Source organism: Homo sapiens, chromosome 2, assembly GCF_000001405.40.
Source record: "Homo sapiens chromosome 2, GRCh38.p14 Primary Assembly".
NCBI classification, from domain to species: Eukaryota; Metazoa; Chordata; class Mammalia; order Primates; family Hominidae; genus Homo; species Homo sapiens.
In genome coordinates this window covers 141051023-141067844 of record NC_000002.12, presented here as the reverse complement: position 1 = coordinate 141067844, position 16822 = coordinate 141051023, and the positions used below count along the sequence as shown (strand labels likewise).

General features: G+C 34.3%; 1 protein-coding gene across 3 annotated transcripts in view; it reads left to right on the top strand.

The window, feature by feature from the left end:
• Nucleotides 1-16822, top strand: part of LRP1B (LDL receptor related protein 1B) — a 1899594-nt gene that overhangs the window by 1063172 nt on the left and 819600 nt on the right. For all 3 annotated transcript variants that reach the window (NM_018557.3, XM_017004341.2, XM_047444771.1), the window contains exons 8-10: nucleotides 5572-5794; nucleotides 8791-8962; nucleotides 12586-12729. In NM_018557.3, the coding sequence (NP_061027.2) occupies nucleotides 5572-5794; nucleotides 8791-8962; nucleotides 12586-12729 (539 nt within the window). The remainder of the gene's footprint in view (nucleotides 1-5571; nucleotides 5795-8790; nucleotides 8963-12585; nucleotides 12730-16822) is intronic.

Here is a 16822-nt window from a genome sequence, read left to right as displayed (position 1 = left end):
ATCACCTTACCTATTTTACAGCAGCTGTGCACCAGGTGGACCGCATACTTTGCAGTTGAGATTATTGAGAGAAAGGGTCCTAGTGACTCCTCTCAGTCTATGATTTGGTTTCACTTGAATCCCATATTCCTTCTTGGTCTAATTATCTGTGAAGAGAGAGGAGATAAATGGTATTATGCTACTGCGCATAGGGCTGCCTCTCTCAGAAACACTAAATGGGGCAGGTTTAGGTAAATAAGGACGTTCAACGAGTCAGCCACATTGCCTGACATATCCAATACACGTACACTTTTGGAGGAATCACTAGTGGGAATGTTTCCAGAATATAGAATAGCCAGCCGACAGTGGGAGTCCATATGTCAAGTTTAATTTCTGTGTGTTTATGTATAAACTGAAAACCAAGTACAAGAGAGATTTTTCAAACAACAAAAGTGAAATCCCCAAACAAGTAAAGATCAATAAATAACTGTCTTGAATAGTCTTGGCCAGACAGACAAAATAGCTTAATTGTTTATTATCCACATGCTTTAAGTGGCAGAAACTAATAGAATTTGAATTTAAACCTTTTATTTCAAAGACTCATTACTTTTTCAGATTTGTAATTGCATTTTAGAATTACAATGCTAAATATTTAATATTCCTACTTTATTTCTAAATATACCTCAATTACTCTATATAATGTGGAAAATTACTTTCTTGTTCAAGTTTTGTACAAGGTACAATGGCATAAAAAATGAGGTTATGTTACTATTGATGCTATTTGGATAACACTAAGTTACTATAAAAACAAGAAAAAAATAAAGTTCCTAATGCAAACCTTTCTGAGGAAAATACGTATCATTTTCCTGAAATAAAAAGGAAAGCAGTTGTCTTCATTAAGATAAATTAATAAACATGGAGGGTTTGCCAGACCCTAAACATAGCAATGATTTTTGAAATCTGGCAATATATGGCTCCCTACTCTTATGTCTTACTCCCCTCTTAGCTAGTCCCCATTTTGTATCTTGTTACGTAAAATACCTTGTTTTTTTAACTTCACTTCAAAAAAATCTTGTCGTGTAACCTAACTTTCTAAAAAGTTAAAATGAATGATAAGTCATTTCATTTTCAGAACCTTTTGAAAATTTCTAAATTCCGTCAGTAAGTTATAACTAACATTTAAGAGTTAAGGACGGGGACTGACCATGCAGTTAAAGGACATGGACAGAACTTTGATGTATTTAAATTCCCTTATGTTTTTTTGAGTTAAAGTACAGAAGCATTATTTAAAATGGATATCACTGGCAAAAGCAATTCTTATTTTTATCAGCTAAAAAAAATGCATGCTTTAAGATGTCAGTATGTATAACAATTGCTTTCCTTTAAAGTATAGAAATGATTGGTGCCATAACTCTGTAAGCACAGTGCTCTGTCACTGTCCATGAGCGCTCCCTTTGTGACTTATGATTTATGTTAGGCAAGTTTACCAATAATACTCGAAGTTTCTTACTATCCTCAACTGTATAAAACTTATATGACTGTAGTGAAACGGGGCTGCTCATATAATCACAAAGATGTCAGACAAAAACAGTTTCCCATATCTGACGGGATAATGATGTCAAAACAATAAAACCCTGTTTACTAGAGAAGCTGCATTATGAAAATAAAGAACAGGATGAATAATTAAAAATTTGAAAGAAATGTTTTCTTTTGTGAGCTAATAGTTAAACATCTTAGAAATAGAGACAGTTGTTGGATTTGGGTGTCTTTTAATATTAATTTTTGTTAGTGGAAACTAGAATGACATTTAAAAATAAATGTAGAACAAGAGAACAGCAATGCCCCTTTTTGCTGCATAACAAAAAATAGTTGATAACACAGGTGAGAACAAAGAAAGATTTTTAAAAAGTATTAGTATTGCAATCCTAAGGGAATGGGGCATAGGGCTGAATTGGGACTGGTCTCCACAATCTACCATGAGTTTTCCAGGGAGAGTGCTAACCTGGGGGCCCTTGGTTCCTGGTGCGGGGAGATGCTGAAAAAGAGACTAGGACCCTGGAAGTTAAGAGAGTTAAGTGTTCAGAAAACATCAAATATGGTGGAATGAATGGGATTCCAAACCACCATTGAAATTCCTTTTTGTGTAATTTTGGGGGTAGATCATAGGCTTTCCCACTGTTTCTAAGCCCTAGGGGTGGTAACAATAAAGTGCAAAATCATTGCATTTCAGTTCAAAAGGCATAACATAATCTAATTATAACATTATGACAAAAATCAGACAGATCTCAAGTTGGAACATTCTTCAAAACAACCCTTATCTACTCTTTGGAAATATTAACATCATGAACAACAAAGGAAAGCTGAAGAACTGCTCAAGATTAAAGGAGTTGAGCAAGAAAAGACGATTAAACACAATGTATCATGTTCAATTAGATTCTGAATCAGAAATTTTTTCTATAAAGAACATTATCTGTCAAAAGGCAAATTTTGAATGACTATACATTGCACACATTGTTAAAGGAATTGATTATGAGAGATATACTGTGGTTATGCAAGAGAATGTCCTTGTCTTTCCTAACCTTCTTAAGAGATGGATGCTGAAGTGTTTAGGAATAGAGTGATGATGTCAGCAGTTTACTCTGAAGTGGCTCAATGAGTATATAAAATAGCCAACGGAACGAAATGTAAACAACTGGTGAATCTAGGTGACGGGTATAGGCATCCATTCTACTATTCTTAAAAATTAAAAATTTTGTGTGAGTTTGAAATTCCAAATAACAAGTTTTTCAAAAAGCTGTGACATTTATGGCTCCGGCAAAGACTAAGGATAAGGGCTTTGAAACTATTTCATCTGTAAAATACAAATTATCTGGTACTTTTGTCTCTCAGGGAAATCATAAGGATCCACAGGATCGTGGAGTTTGCAGAGCACCATTTACTTGTTTATGATTTGGAAAAATATGTTATAGAAAAGAAGAGAGTGATTTTTAACCCAACAACATTTATATTACAAATGACATAGTTGAATTTTAAATATTTAAAAATGTTAGCTTGTGTTTACCAATTGTAATACAGCTATGCCTCCACTAAAGAATGCCCTAGGAATGAAACTTTTCTCTGTAACAGGAAATTTTAGGGTAAAATTAAACACCACTAAAAACAAGCACACAAATAAACATTTATATCATCATGTGACTATAGGCACTCAATAGCTGCAACTTTATGGTCATATTGCTATTATTCCTTAGGACTCTTTGATTTTTTGCATTTCAATCAAAAGTGAACAGAGCTCATCACAGTCAGGAATCTGAAGTCTGAGAAGGTTCAATTTTGATCAGTTATATATTTACATGTGCTTTTTTTCATGCTTAGCAGAAACTTAGAGAGTTATCTCAATCCGTTTTATGATTTAGAAAAAAATATGAGAATCAGTTGCATCAGTCTTGTAATAGAAGGTCAAAAAGAATGAAAAATTTCTTGAATGAATAACTTAAATTTTCTGAAACCTTCATCATCACCTGGTTTATACTCTTCCTCCATAACTAAACTTCCCAAACACAAGTGGCAAAAATTACTAGTATTTTACTGAATATCAGATTCAGTGACATTTTCTTAATCTATATCCTTCTTTTTTTTGCTTTGTAAAGTGATTGACCCAGTCAGCCACTCGATTTTTTATTCTGAAAATTCTCTGTTTTAGATGTCTGTGAACATCTGTGTTACTGCTAACTTCTGACCTCCTTTACTCTTATTTCTCTAACAGCATGCCTCCAAGGTTCTTGTCTTGAGACGCCTCTTTTTTTGTCAGGGGTCAGGGGATCTCATTCAATTAAGTCATCTGAGGATGACTTTAGAGAAGGCTTCATCTTCAGACTCACCTCTCTCCTTAAGTACCATGTAAACAGTTGCAATTGCCTGCTTCATAATGCTATCTAAACGTAGTCTCTACACATCACATGATAGCCAGAACCTTCATTTCTCCATGGCCAAAGTCAAACCACCTGCACACCAACTCCTCTTCACCTCTGTGAAATGAACCAGTGAGAAAAGAAAAATATAAAAGAAGAGGCATTGTGAGAAAAAGTTTCATGTAGCAAGAATAGTGAAGACTGTTCTATAGTAAGAAAGAGTGAAACTGGGTAGTCCTTATAGAAACAGAATAGCTATGAACAAATTGATTTATAAGTGAGGAAAACAGAGATGCAGGATGGAAGCAGGAAGAGAGAGAGAGACGGAGGGGGAGAGGGAACGCGTGCATACCAAGCAGTGATTTGATCGTTTAGCATGACAATGAGAATGCAGGGTGTGCCCTTTATTTATTCTTCACTAGACTAGAAAGATCTTCACCTAAATAAATATCACTTGAAAAAATCATTTTTAACTTATGATAAACTGATCTTTCAAGAACATTTGGTGAAATATATACTTATAATAAAATCTAGCTTGTACTATTACAAATAGTATGCACTAATGTTTAAAAATTAGTCAATGTCTCCTACAGCAGAGAGAACTAAATTAAAATTAAAGTTTAAATAATGTGTTTAAGCTTTAAAGATACCCCATACTGTTAGATAATGTAAGTATGTTGAGAAAAGTAACTAAAAACTAATTCACCAAGTTTGTAAAATCAAATATTTTATACTCTAGGTAATCTTAATATTGCTCAGTCACTGTAAATTGGATTATTCTTGAGATTGTATTTAAGTCAAGGCAAGATGGTCTTCTATTTACAAATGTAATTTAGTCTCATGAGTGGGTAATCTTGTTAAATATTGTCAGGTTAATTAAAATTGATTTGTGTTTACTAAACATAGTGAATACTAATCAAATATTAGATACTGAAGTGTTGGAGTTACATTTTAAACTTTGACAGACACCATTAGCACAGTATGAAAGAATTTGTTGTCTCAGAGGTCAACATTACTCTTCAGCCTTTTCTCCAAAATAAATATTAAGAAAAAACAAGAAGAAATGACCTATACTTTTTAAATACAATTTTGTGATTTGGGAATATTTGGGAGAATTTGGGATAAGTTTTGGTGGGGAATTGATTATTTATGTTTTATTTCTGTTGCTACAAACAGCACATTTGCTTTTCTGTCTGCTTAATTCCATTCCAGGTTTGCTATTCTCCACCACTCATAGCGTCATTGAGCTCCACATGATAAGTTTTATAAGACACAAACATTACCAGGCAATTTGAAAGGCAGGTTGAAGATAAAGGCTGATAGCTCACATGCCCTGGCCTGGTGACTTGGCTCACTTCTGAAGCTTACACTGAATGTGGTTGATGTGCTTCAGCTCCATGAGGCTTAAAGAAACATTTCTGCTAATACAAAAATAAACCCACTATAATCATTCATTTTGGGGAAATTTTACAGTTGTTGGTTAACCTGCTCCCTTATGCCCTGCAATATTCATTAGCAGATTTCTCTGTTTATGAGTGATATTATAAGGAAATGGTTATATGAAGCCAACAGATGTAATCACTGAAATAAATTAGAAGAAAAAGTTCTGTTTTTTACAGATGGCTCCATCAAACGTGCTTCCCTCCCCCACCCTCCACTTTAACATTTAGTTTTCTTTCAACAGAAAACTTTTCTTTACTGACTACGGGAATGTCGCCAAAGTGGAGAGATGTGACATGGATGGGATGAACCGAACAAGGATAATTGATTCAAAGACAGAGCAGCCAGCTGCACTGGCACTAGACCTAGTCAACAAATTGGTTTACTGGGTAGATCTTTACTTGGACTATGTGGGAGTAGTGGACTATCAAGGAAAAAATAGACACACTGTCATTCAAGGCAGACAAGTAAGTACAATTTTGTTAGACAACGCTCCTAGGGTAATAAAAAGAAAGGAATAATACCAAAATTTGCAATACTGAAAATTTCTTGTAAAGTCGAGCTGCAATGAGTCATAAAAATTACAGTATATTTCCTATATTGGAGAATGTTCTTTTCACAGTGATATTGTGATATTTCCACAAAATTGGAGATGCCTCTCTTGCTCTTTCTCCCTTCTATTAAAAACAGAGAAAACAAGTAAACAAAAAACAAAACAACAAAGACAAAAATGCTATATTCGCAAGAAAGAAAAGTATTAAAATAGGTCAGATGTTATGGCCTATTTACTAAAAACTAATTTAAGTAGTTCATTCATGAGGAGCTGGACTATCATCTGTCCCATGTGGCGTTGGAGATATTTTGCTAACAAAAGCAAATGGCTGTTCACAAAAGTACCTTTATTATAACAAGTTCGATTAAATTTTGACTTCTGATGTATTCAAGTACTTCCTAAAAAGAGAATTCTGTGAAAGTCACGGAGGTCAAAATTCTTCCTAAATGTGTTACTTTTTACTTTGCTGAATTACAACGTTTTGCAAACAACAGTCAGTGAATGCCTAAAAGAGATCTCTAAGTAGAAATCAGCCTTATTTACTATAATATATTTAAAAATCTGATTTTATCTCACTAATGGCACTTATTTTATGTGAGATTCTTAGTCTATGGAGCTGAAATATGTGAATCTCTTTGGATTCTTTTGCAATGCAAGACAGGTACATTCTGTGATTATCCTCTAAAGTTACTTTTACTTTCTAATCAGCTTTTAAAATGAAATCCTTTCTCCTTCCTTGACAGATAAAGAGATGCACTAATCTGTCTGGGGTGGGGTTGGAGTGGGGGAACCTGTTCAATGTTAAAGGTGGGCCAGTGCTTTCTCTCTCACCTTCAACTGCCCCAAAAATCTTGATTCCTTTCAAAGCTCTTAGTTACAACCTTAGAGGACCTGATCTCTGAGATGATTATCATGGCCCTTCTCTTTACTTATTTGCAATTAAAAAATTAAACCTTGTTATGAAGATAGGGAGTTCAAATAAATTTTTTCATGACTACTTTAAAAAGTTTTGAAAGCCTGAAGTGTTTATTCTTTTTTCCCCATGTCTATTGCCTGTATTTTGCTTGTTCCTTAAACATATGCTAAGTCTGCCACTAAATAATCCAACATAGATACAGTTTTTGAAGTACTGGGGCTGAAGGCAAAATGGTTTACCTACTGCTCCAGGCTTCTCCTACCTCTGCCTAGGGTGTAATTAGCAGAGGTGCCTGTTTTAGGGGAAACAGTCTTTTCTGAAGGAAGATAGGGAGGTAGTGAGTGAATTTTATCTTTACTGGGTGAACATGTTTTCTACCTTGACCAATTGCCTCTTATGTAGCAGGCTTTTTCTCCTGGGTTATGAATTGGCAGTCATGTGACAACAATGTTGATATCCCATCACCACAGGTTCCTTGGTTGATGGCCCCAAACTTTGAGCAAAACATGCACGAGACTAATGGCAAAGGAAGAGTCTTGAGCTTGCTTATAATTTTTGTAGGACAAAAGTATTACCCAAGTCAAAATTGGACCATAGATATTTTTAGTAAATTTGATGTCAGCTAGGTGGAAAATGATATTAGTAAATACACATATGCCTGGACCCACACATAAATACAACACATGTCCATACTGTGGAGTAACATGTACATACAAAAAAACTATTCGGGCTATAACATGGAATAGTTCTCCCTAGTCATTCTTATATTTTATGTCCGACCTAAGCATGAAGAAATGAGATAAAACCCAAAAACGACATGTAAAGCCAGTCTTTTTTTAGTCGTGTCTCATACAAGAAGACCAGAAATAGAAGTAATGAGTCATATATGCTAAAAAGATAAATCAAATGTTTTTGTTTAAACTATAGAACTGGCAAGATTTTCTGGTTAAAATAGAAAATTTTGTGATTTTGTTCTATAAGTATTTTTATAATCAAACCGCACATACTTTTTCAAATTCTCTTTAACTGCAAATCTGTGTATTAAAAGTGTGCAATATAATGCCGAAAGTAGTGACAGATGCTTTTTCAACAAAATCTCTACAGCAAATCAAGTGGCAACTTCACTTTACCCTGGAACAGAACCATTTAAATTAAGTAAATGAGTAGCCAAAGGCAAGGTGCCTAGCATGTGCCTTTTATTCAGAAAATCAGCACATGTATTCTTCTTTTTGCTCCAGGGGAAAACTTTCTAAGTTCAAGATATCCATTCCTCCCCACAAACTCTAAGACCTTTGCCAAAGAGAAGAGCTGGACTGTTAACTAAGTATATGGATAGCAATAAACATCATAATTCTCAAAAGAAACTGTTCTATTTCCTATGATAAATTGGCTTTAGAAATAATGAAATTTCTGAGTGAAATGTTGACATTTATTTACAATGATTGCAAATATGTGATTTCTTTATATATTACTTTCTGTGCTGGAGCAAGTGGTAGTCTAAACATAGATTGGGACCAAAAAGTTGGATTTTGAATTTATAAAACAAATCTTCGGAGGTGCTTTCTCATTAGTCTTTTCACAGGGAGAGCTATGTTTTTGCAGCTTCTAAATATCCATTATTATATAAACAAGTAGCCCTTAAAATATCTCAAATTATGTATAACAGTGTCACAGGCATATTATTGAATATGCTTGAAAGTCTTGCTCTCACAAGCCTTTGAAAAATAACTACTAAATATGCTCTCTTAATGTCATATGAATACAATTCTGTCCCTACATTTGGAACTGTTTTAAACACTACTGCATAATGTTTTCTTCTCCAGAAAAAAAAGTTTTAATCAGGGAAATGTTGAACTCCTTGAGAAAAAGTAAATAACATCCTTGCGGTTCTTCTGCTGTGGCCATTTTCCATACTAGTAAATAGCAATCAGCTTTTCTTTCAAATTGCAAGCTACATAATTAAAAATCATAGTTATGTTTTGCCCTCTTTATAGGTTAGACATCTTTATGGTATAACTGTGTTTGAAGATTATTTGTATGCAACCAATTCTGATAACTACAATATCGTAAGGATAAACCGATTTAATGGGACTGATATTCACTCATTAATTAAAATTGAGAATGCTTGGGGAATCCGAATTTATCAAAAAAGAACTCAACCAACAGGTAAGTGGGAAAGCTTCTTTATTACCTTCCTAATGGTAGATTGAATGGGGATATAGTCCTTGTGCTTTTGTATGGTGTTGAAGTGAGTGAGTCATAAATTCTCTGCTTTGACAGCAAAAGTAGGCATGTCTGCTTGTTAAATGGAATAGAGCTCCCGTCACAAGTCTAAATGACAGATTGTTCAGTTTCTAGTGAATCGTTTCTATGATAGAATTGAAATGATAGCTAGATTTAGATTCAGGAAGGGGCTTTCAGTCGTGATGAATGTAGACAGGAAACCCAGATGCTAAAGTTATTATTTTTTCCTTTTAAATATCATTTTGGTAGACAAATTTAAAATCAGGTGACTGCCTTGAAGTATCTGTCCAGTGTTTATTATAGTCATTGGGCTCTCCTAACTTAACATTGCAATTGTTCTTTAACACATATTCATTAAAAAGTAATTTTCAATGAGAAGGCTGCAGTTTTTCTCAGAAAAACAAACCAGTTGTTTCTACAGGAGATTAGTGATGCTGTTCATCAATACAATTTAGGTTCAATCATACATAAAAAAAGAGAATATAAAAAGCCACCAGCAAAAATTTTTACTGTATTTTATACTTGTATTTCAAATTAAAACTAGCCTAGAATTATCTAAGCATTAACATATATCTAATCACGGCTGTACATTGTCACAAATATGTTTACAACAGACTCAAATTTAAAATTCTGTAGATGGCCTTATTAGAGTTTAATATTAGGATTTATTCATTCATTAATTTTTCATGGACAATCTACTATGTTCCAGGAACTATTCTATGTATACTGTGAATAGAGCAGTGAATAAAACAGACAAAATAGTCTTGCCTTTATGAGTTTACACTCCAGTGGAGAAGCTATGATACAAAATAACTAAGTAAATTATGTATTATATTAGAAGGTAATAAGTGCTATAGAGAAAATCAAGAAAGTAAGGTGGATAAAGATGTCAGAAATGGGAGCAGTCTTCAATTTTATATGGAAGAGTCAGAAGAAGTTCCATGGAAAAGATGACATTGAATAATGACTTGAGGTATTTGAAGGAGAAAGGCATGGGGATTGTATTAATCGGTTTTCACACTGCTGATAAAGACGTACCCAAGACTGGGCAATTTACAAAAGAAAGAGGTTTAATTGGACTTACAGTTCCACATGGCTGGGGAAACCTCACAATCACAGCAGAAGGCAAGGAGGAGCAAGTCACATCTTATGTGGATAGCCACAGACAGAGAGCTTGTGCAGGAAAACCCCCCTTTTTAAAACCATCAGATCTCATGAGACTTATTTGCTATCACAAGAACAGCATGGGAAAGACCTGCCCCCATGATTCAATTACCTCCTACTGGGTCCCCCCCAACAACACGTGGGAATTCAAGATGAGATTTGGGTGGGGATACAGACAAACCATATCAGAGATATCTGGGCAACAACATTGCAGGTGGTGGGATGAACAAGCACAAAAGCCATGAGGAGAGAACATGTCTAGACTGTTCAAGGAGTGGCAAGAATACCTGTGTGTCTAAAGCAGAACGAACAAGGAAAAGAGAAGTAGGAAATAAGGCTGGAGAAACAAAGGAGGACCATAACAAGTAGGGCTCTGTAGACTATTATAAAAAACTTTTGCTTATACTTTTAGTGAGATGGGAAGTCCTTAGAAAGCATTAAACAGAAAAATCTCACGGTATGACTGACATTTTTAAAGAACCAATATGGCTACTCTGTTGATAATAGGTAGTAGGGAGGAGAAGGTTGGAAGGTTACAGAGGATGGTGGATTGGATCAAGATCCAGCAGTGAAAGTGGTAAGAAGTAGTGAAATTCAGAATATAGGCAAATATAGAGCCGATAGGATTTTCTGATACATTAGAGGTGGAGTATAAATCAGACAGTGGTCTAGCTAGAGGAGTTGGAATAATTTAGTTACTTTTTAGATGGGGAAACTAAGCATGGAGTGAGTTTAGGACAAAGATAGCAAATTTAATTTTCATGAGTTACTTTAAATGTTTATTACAAATTAAAGTGAAAATATCAAGGGTATATTTAAATATACAACTCTGGAGTTGAAGGGGGAAGTCCAAGCTTGAGATACCAATTTGGGAGTCATTGACAGACAGGTCACATTTAAAGCCATGACTATGGATGTGAACACCAAGGCAGTAATCACAAATGGAGAAATAAGCATTCCAAATAATGGACACTGGTATGCTCCAGCAATAAGCTGAAAAGAATAGGAAAAACCAAAAGAAGAGACTGAGATGAAGCTTCTTAAATCCAATTGACCATAGGATTTAGCAGCATGAAGCTCACTGGGATCTGACAAGGGCAGTTTCAGAATTAAGTGAATATATGAGTAGAATGGGTTTGAGAGAGAGAAGAAGGAAAAGAATTGTAGAAAATGATCATTGGTAGCTTTGCACAGTGTGGATGTAAGCTAGGGCAGAGAAATGGAGAGCTAGTTGAAGGAAGGATTGTTGTGGGAATTTGGGTTAAAAGATTTTTGATTAGATGTAGAAATAATGGTATATTTGCATGTTGATGGACATGATCCAATGGAAAAAGCAAAAGTGATGATAAGATTTAGAAAGTGGAGAGTTGTTGATTAGTTGAGAGGAGATGCGATCTATTGTATAAGTGGAGTCAGGTTGGAAAATAACAATAACACTCTTGGCAGGAAAAAATTAGTAAAAATTGCATTTCACTCATCTTCTGACTTGGAGAATGAAGAATACAAAGATAATAGGCATAATTTTTAAAAGCATATTAGTTTTATTATGAAGAGAACACTGCCATGATATTCATCACCATTTCAAACAAGTGGGTGATCTAAAAGAAACATAATTACAATAATATGTAAAATCTTACTTATATTATTCCTATTATTTCTTTTCACTTTGATCCATCTTTCTTTTCTCATCCTCTCCATATAGTACTTTTCTTACCTTTTTTCTTTAGTAGCTTTTATGCTCACAAAATATTCTTCTACGCCTCAATTTCTATACATATACTCAGCCTCCACCATTTGACAACTACACACACACACACACACACACACACACACACACATTTTGTGGTAAGAGTCTCAAAATGACAATAGACTTAAAAATTTAAAAAATATTTTGCCTCAGCACTTCTCAACAGTGTATATATAATCACTGAATCACATTTCCTCTAGTTTGGTTGCCCATATGATGAATCATTTCAAAGGAAATCCTTTCTCTGCTTAACTACCTAACCTGGGATTATTTTTGTGGATCTTTGTATTCATTTTAGAAATTGGTATTTTTAAAAAGGATGAGAAGCAAGTACAAAAAAAAGTTATGTTACTTTTATTTTGCTCACCGGTGAAGAGTTTAAATTAATATAAACACATTTTATTTCTTAGAATTTTTTTTAAATGCTCACTTAGGAGGATTTTGTCAAATCCCTGTCTCCTCTTCTATGGGGTTTACACTCTTTTGCATTCGATTATGGTGCTAAATAGTTGAGTATACAAAATTTTGCTAAGATTCCCTGTTTTTACACTATAGAAATTTTGACATACTGATGCACATAGTTATCTTATCTTTGAACTTGAATTTCACGCATGCTGTTTTTTATTTGTTGTAGTCAGAAGCCATGCATGTGAAGTCGATCCATATGGAATGCCAGGGGGCTGTTCACACATCTGTCTACTCAGCAGCAGTTACAAAACTCGGACTTGTCGCTGCAGGACTGGCTTCAACTTGGGAAGTGATGGCAGGTCATGCAAAAGTATGTTGTTAAAATAAAACATTTGCCAGCAGCTACCCCTTTAGAATAGGATTTTAAGTATTAATTAGCAGCATCAACATCAGTCATAACATGAGACTTCAACAGGTGAAGTTTGCCTGCAAATATATACTGTCCATTTTTCTCAAAATAAGTATTTTTCTTTTGTGATAATATGAATGAGAAACTAACCAGGCTCTGGAGTCACTAAATTTATTGATTTTAGGGAAACATATGTTGAGGAAGATTTTTAGAAAGATGCTTCCCTTAATTCCCTAAAGAATGTATTTGAGCTAATAAGTTGGAATGATTAGTTGATCAGATTTCCTCTTATTTGAACCAATATGCTACTCCTCATAATAGGCATGTTGCTTGTTTCGACAGAAATCCATGTATAGTCAGGCTTCATTTTATCCAGCATCACTGGGGAGTGAATTCACTCCATGATTTAATTTGTCATGATTCAATTTTTCAGATAGCTGAAGCTATACCTAATTAGAGATCAAACATTTAATGATTTTATCAAAAAGTTTTAACGATTTTATCAAAAAGTTTTCTAATCTCTTAGATATATCTTTGTTTTATTTTAAAAATAGGCCTGAATAATTTATTTTAATTTAAATATGGTAAAAAGGATTTTAAAAATGACTTTCATAACTTAATATTTTGCACAATAATTAGTTAAGGTCTTTTCCTGGGGTCTTGATAATCAGGTATAGTAGAACGGCCCTGATTGAAATGATCCTAGTGGGGACTGTTGGTCTTTAAATGTTCCCCAAACACCATTATTTTTAATTTTATGATGACTGCTTTTTACAGTGTCCAGTTTGTCTTTACCTTTGTCATAGTGACAGCTTTTTATTTCTGTCAGTCCTTTCTCTCTGGTCACAATCCTGTCATCTCTTCCACCCTCTGGTCATGTGCTTACTAAGGACTGTGAAATTAGATCACTAAATGTGTTAGAATTTGAAGTCTGAATGGTTAGAGCTACTAATAGAATATATAGTTTAAAGTGAAGAATCAAAGAGTCCAAACTATGTTAAAATGTATGCATTTTTGTACTTTGTTTACATTTTTTATTTGTATTCCTGATTTTGTATTAAATGCTGGGAATGTGAAGGTAACAGGTCTCATGTTTCTAGGCCTTCTGGATAATTGAGGGTACTGAGTTTGAAGCCTCATGATAAAAGAAGTTTTGTGTGTGGGTACATGTGTGTCTATGTAGTGTGTGATTTAAAAATTGATCTGGATGGCACTTGGGAAATATAATCACACACACACACACACACATATATACACACATGCATATGTGCATACATACATACACACATTGGAGGAAAAACATAAGATCAGAATTGCCTATTATTCAATTGTCCCTAATGTAGTACATCACCTGGAGTACATTGAAAGTCATCAGAAACAACTCCAGCTATTTGAAGCAACAAGAGATTTAATGTAAATAGGTGCCTACAAAATCATTTAAAAACCTGGACCAGTAGCTTCTAGACTGGGTCTTTGGAACATTCCACCAAACACCATTAAACCAACCTGGCTGAAAGCTGGAACATCTACCATACTCAGAAGCTAGAGCATCAGGGAGCCACAAATGAAAATGTTAACTTTAAAAACATACCATTTAGCTGAGATCCAGGGATTAGAAAGCTTGCCCCACAACTATCAGATGTAGAGTTAAGTCTCATCTGATAGTCCCTAACTGGCAAAAAATAAAGAAGAGGAGGAGAGGAGAGACACCCTGTTCCTCACCTCTTGATATAGAATGGAGGAAGACTGCTGTGGAAAAATTCAGTGTCTCCATTAGATTGATACCAGCAGAAGCGGCAAAAAGGGGACCTTTGCCTCACTTCCATATTCTAAACTTGAGCTAGCATATCTGATTTTAGGTAGTCAAATGAAATCCACTACCCTTGGCTATATGAGTGTCTGTGAAATGTATTTTTTACTATTCAATTGTCTGTAGTACAAGAAGACACACTAGAGAAACTTAAGTAGGTATTAAAGAATACCTAGGAAATGACCAAAGAAAATAATGGGGAAAATCATTGCCATTCTTATTTAAAACATACATACCTACATACACAAACAAACAATCACACATATTACATCAATGAAGTACTAGGTTTATCAATTACCAATTAAGACATCCATTAGAAGTAACAACAAGGGCGAGTGTTGTGGCTCAGGCCTGTGATTTCAGCACTTTGGGAGGCTGAGGCAGGTGGATCACTTGAGCCCAGGATTTCAATAAGAGCCTGGGCAACATTGCAAAACCTAGTCTCTAAAAAAGCTACAAAAATTAGACAGGCATGGTGGCACACTCCTGTAGACCCAGCTACTTGGGAGGCTGAAGTAGGAGGATAGCTTGAGCCCAGGTGGCAGAGGTTGCAATAAGCTGAGATATTAGCAAAATGGGTGCTGTAAAACCAGGATTCCCATGTATTGCTAATATAATTAGAAATCGATGTCACAGTTCGTAAGACATTTGCTAATAAATATAATGATCATAAAACTGACAACATCATTTCACAAGTTATCCTACTTTACTTTTGATTAAGGAAATTAAATGTATTTGTAATAATAGCAACTCAGAAACAATATAGCTATCCAACAATAGGTAAGCAGCCGACTATATTATGTTGCTTCTCTAGTAGGAAATATTATGCTGCCATTGAAAGGAAAGTTTTTGAAGACTTTTTAATGGCTTGACAAAAAGTCATTACAGTAAAAAGAATTTATATACAAGATCCCAATTTTTGAAAAATATAAAAGTATGTAAGTATCTAATGTTGATAGAAAATACTCTAGAAATGTTAATGATTTTCAAATGTATCAATATACTTTAAAATAATATAAAGTATTATTTTAAAAGAAATGCCCTTGACATCAGGTAGACACTGAGAGGCTATGAGGGCAATGAAGACAAGGATGTTAAGGTACTTTATTCTGTAATTTCGTCTAAGAAAATGTGTGAAATGCTAAATTGAAAAAATTATGCTTATCTCAGTATTATTATAATGATGAAAACAGAAAACCATTTGGAAAATGACTTGGTAAATTATTATATATCAAATAGAAACAAGGCTTAAGATAATGGTTCAACATAGACAATAATCTTGATTCTAAAATTAAACAATAAGAGCAGAGTATAAAATTGAGTATCTATTTTGATATAAGTAAATATACATTGAAAAAATACCTACATACATTAAATATGAAGCAGTCATACAAAGGAATGCTATACAGCAATGAAAATGAGTGAAGTATGACTACAAGAAGAATGGATGAATATCAAGGATATAATAAAAATAATATTAATCACAAAATTCACACATGCAATTCAAACATGCAAAATTAAACAATCTGCTGCTGGGAAATACACTACATATGTGTTAAAACTCTTTTAAAAATTTAAAATAAACACAACAATCAAGATATCGGCTCTTTCTCAGTTGGAGGAGAATGGGTTTGGGGCACATTTATGTCTTCCAGTGTACTGGAAATATTCTTCACATTTTTGCTAGGTACCTGGGATTTGTTTTATTTTTATTCTTTATATATTAAAATATGTTATCAGTTTGTGTGCTAATTTGCTGAGAATGATTGCTTCTAGCTTCATCTGTATCCCTGCAAAGGACATGATCTCATTCTTTTTTATGGCTGCATAGTATTCCACGGCGTATATGTTCCACATTTTCTTTATCCAGTCTTTCATTGATGGGCATTTGGGTTGGTTCCAGGTCTTTGCTATTTAAATAATGCTGCAGTAAGCATACATGTGCATGTATCTTTATAGTAGAATGATTTATAATCCTTTGGGTATATAGCCAGTAATGGGACTGCTGAGTAAAATAGTATTTCTGATTGTATATGCTTGAGGGATCGCCACACTGTCTTCCAGAATGGTTGAACTAATTTACACTCCCACCAACAATGTAAAAGCGTTTCTATTTCTCCACAACCTTGCCAGCATCTATTGTTTCCTGACTTTTTAATAATTGCCATTTTGACTGGTGCGAGATAGTATCTCATTGTGGTTTTGATTTGCATTTCTCTAATGACAGGTGATGTTGAGCTTTTA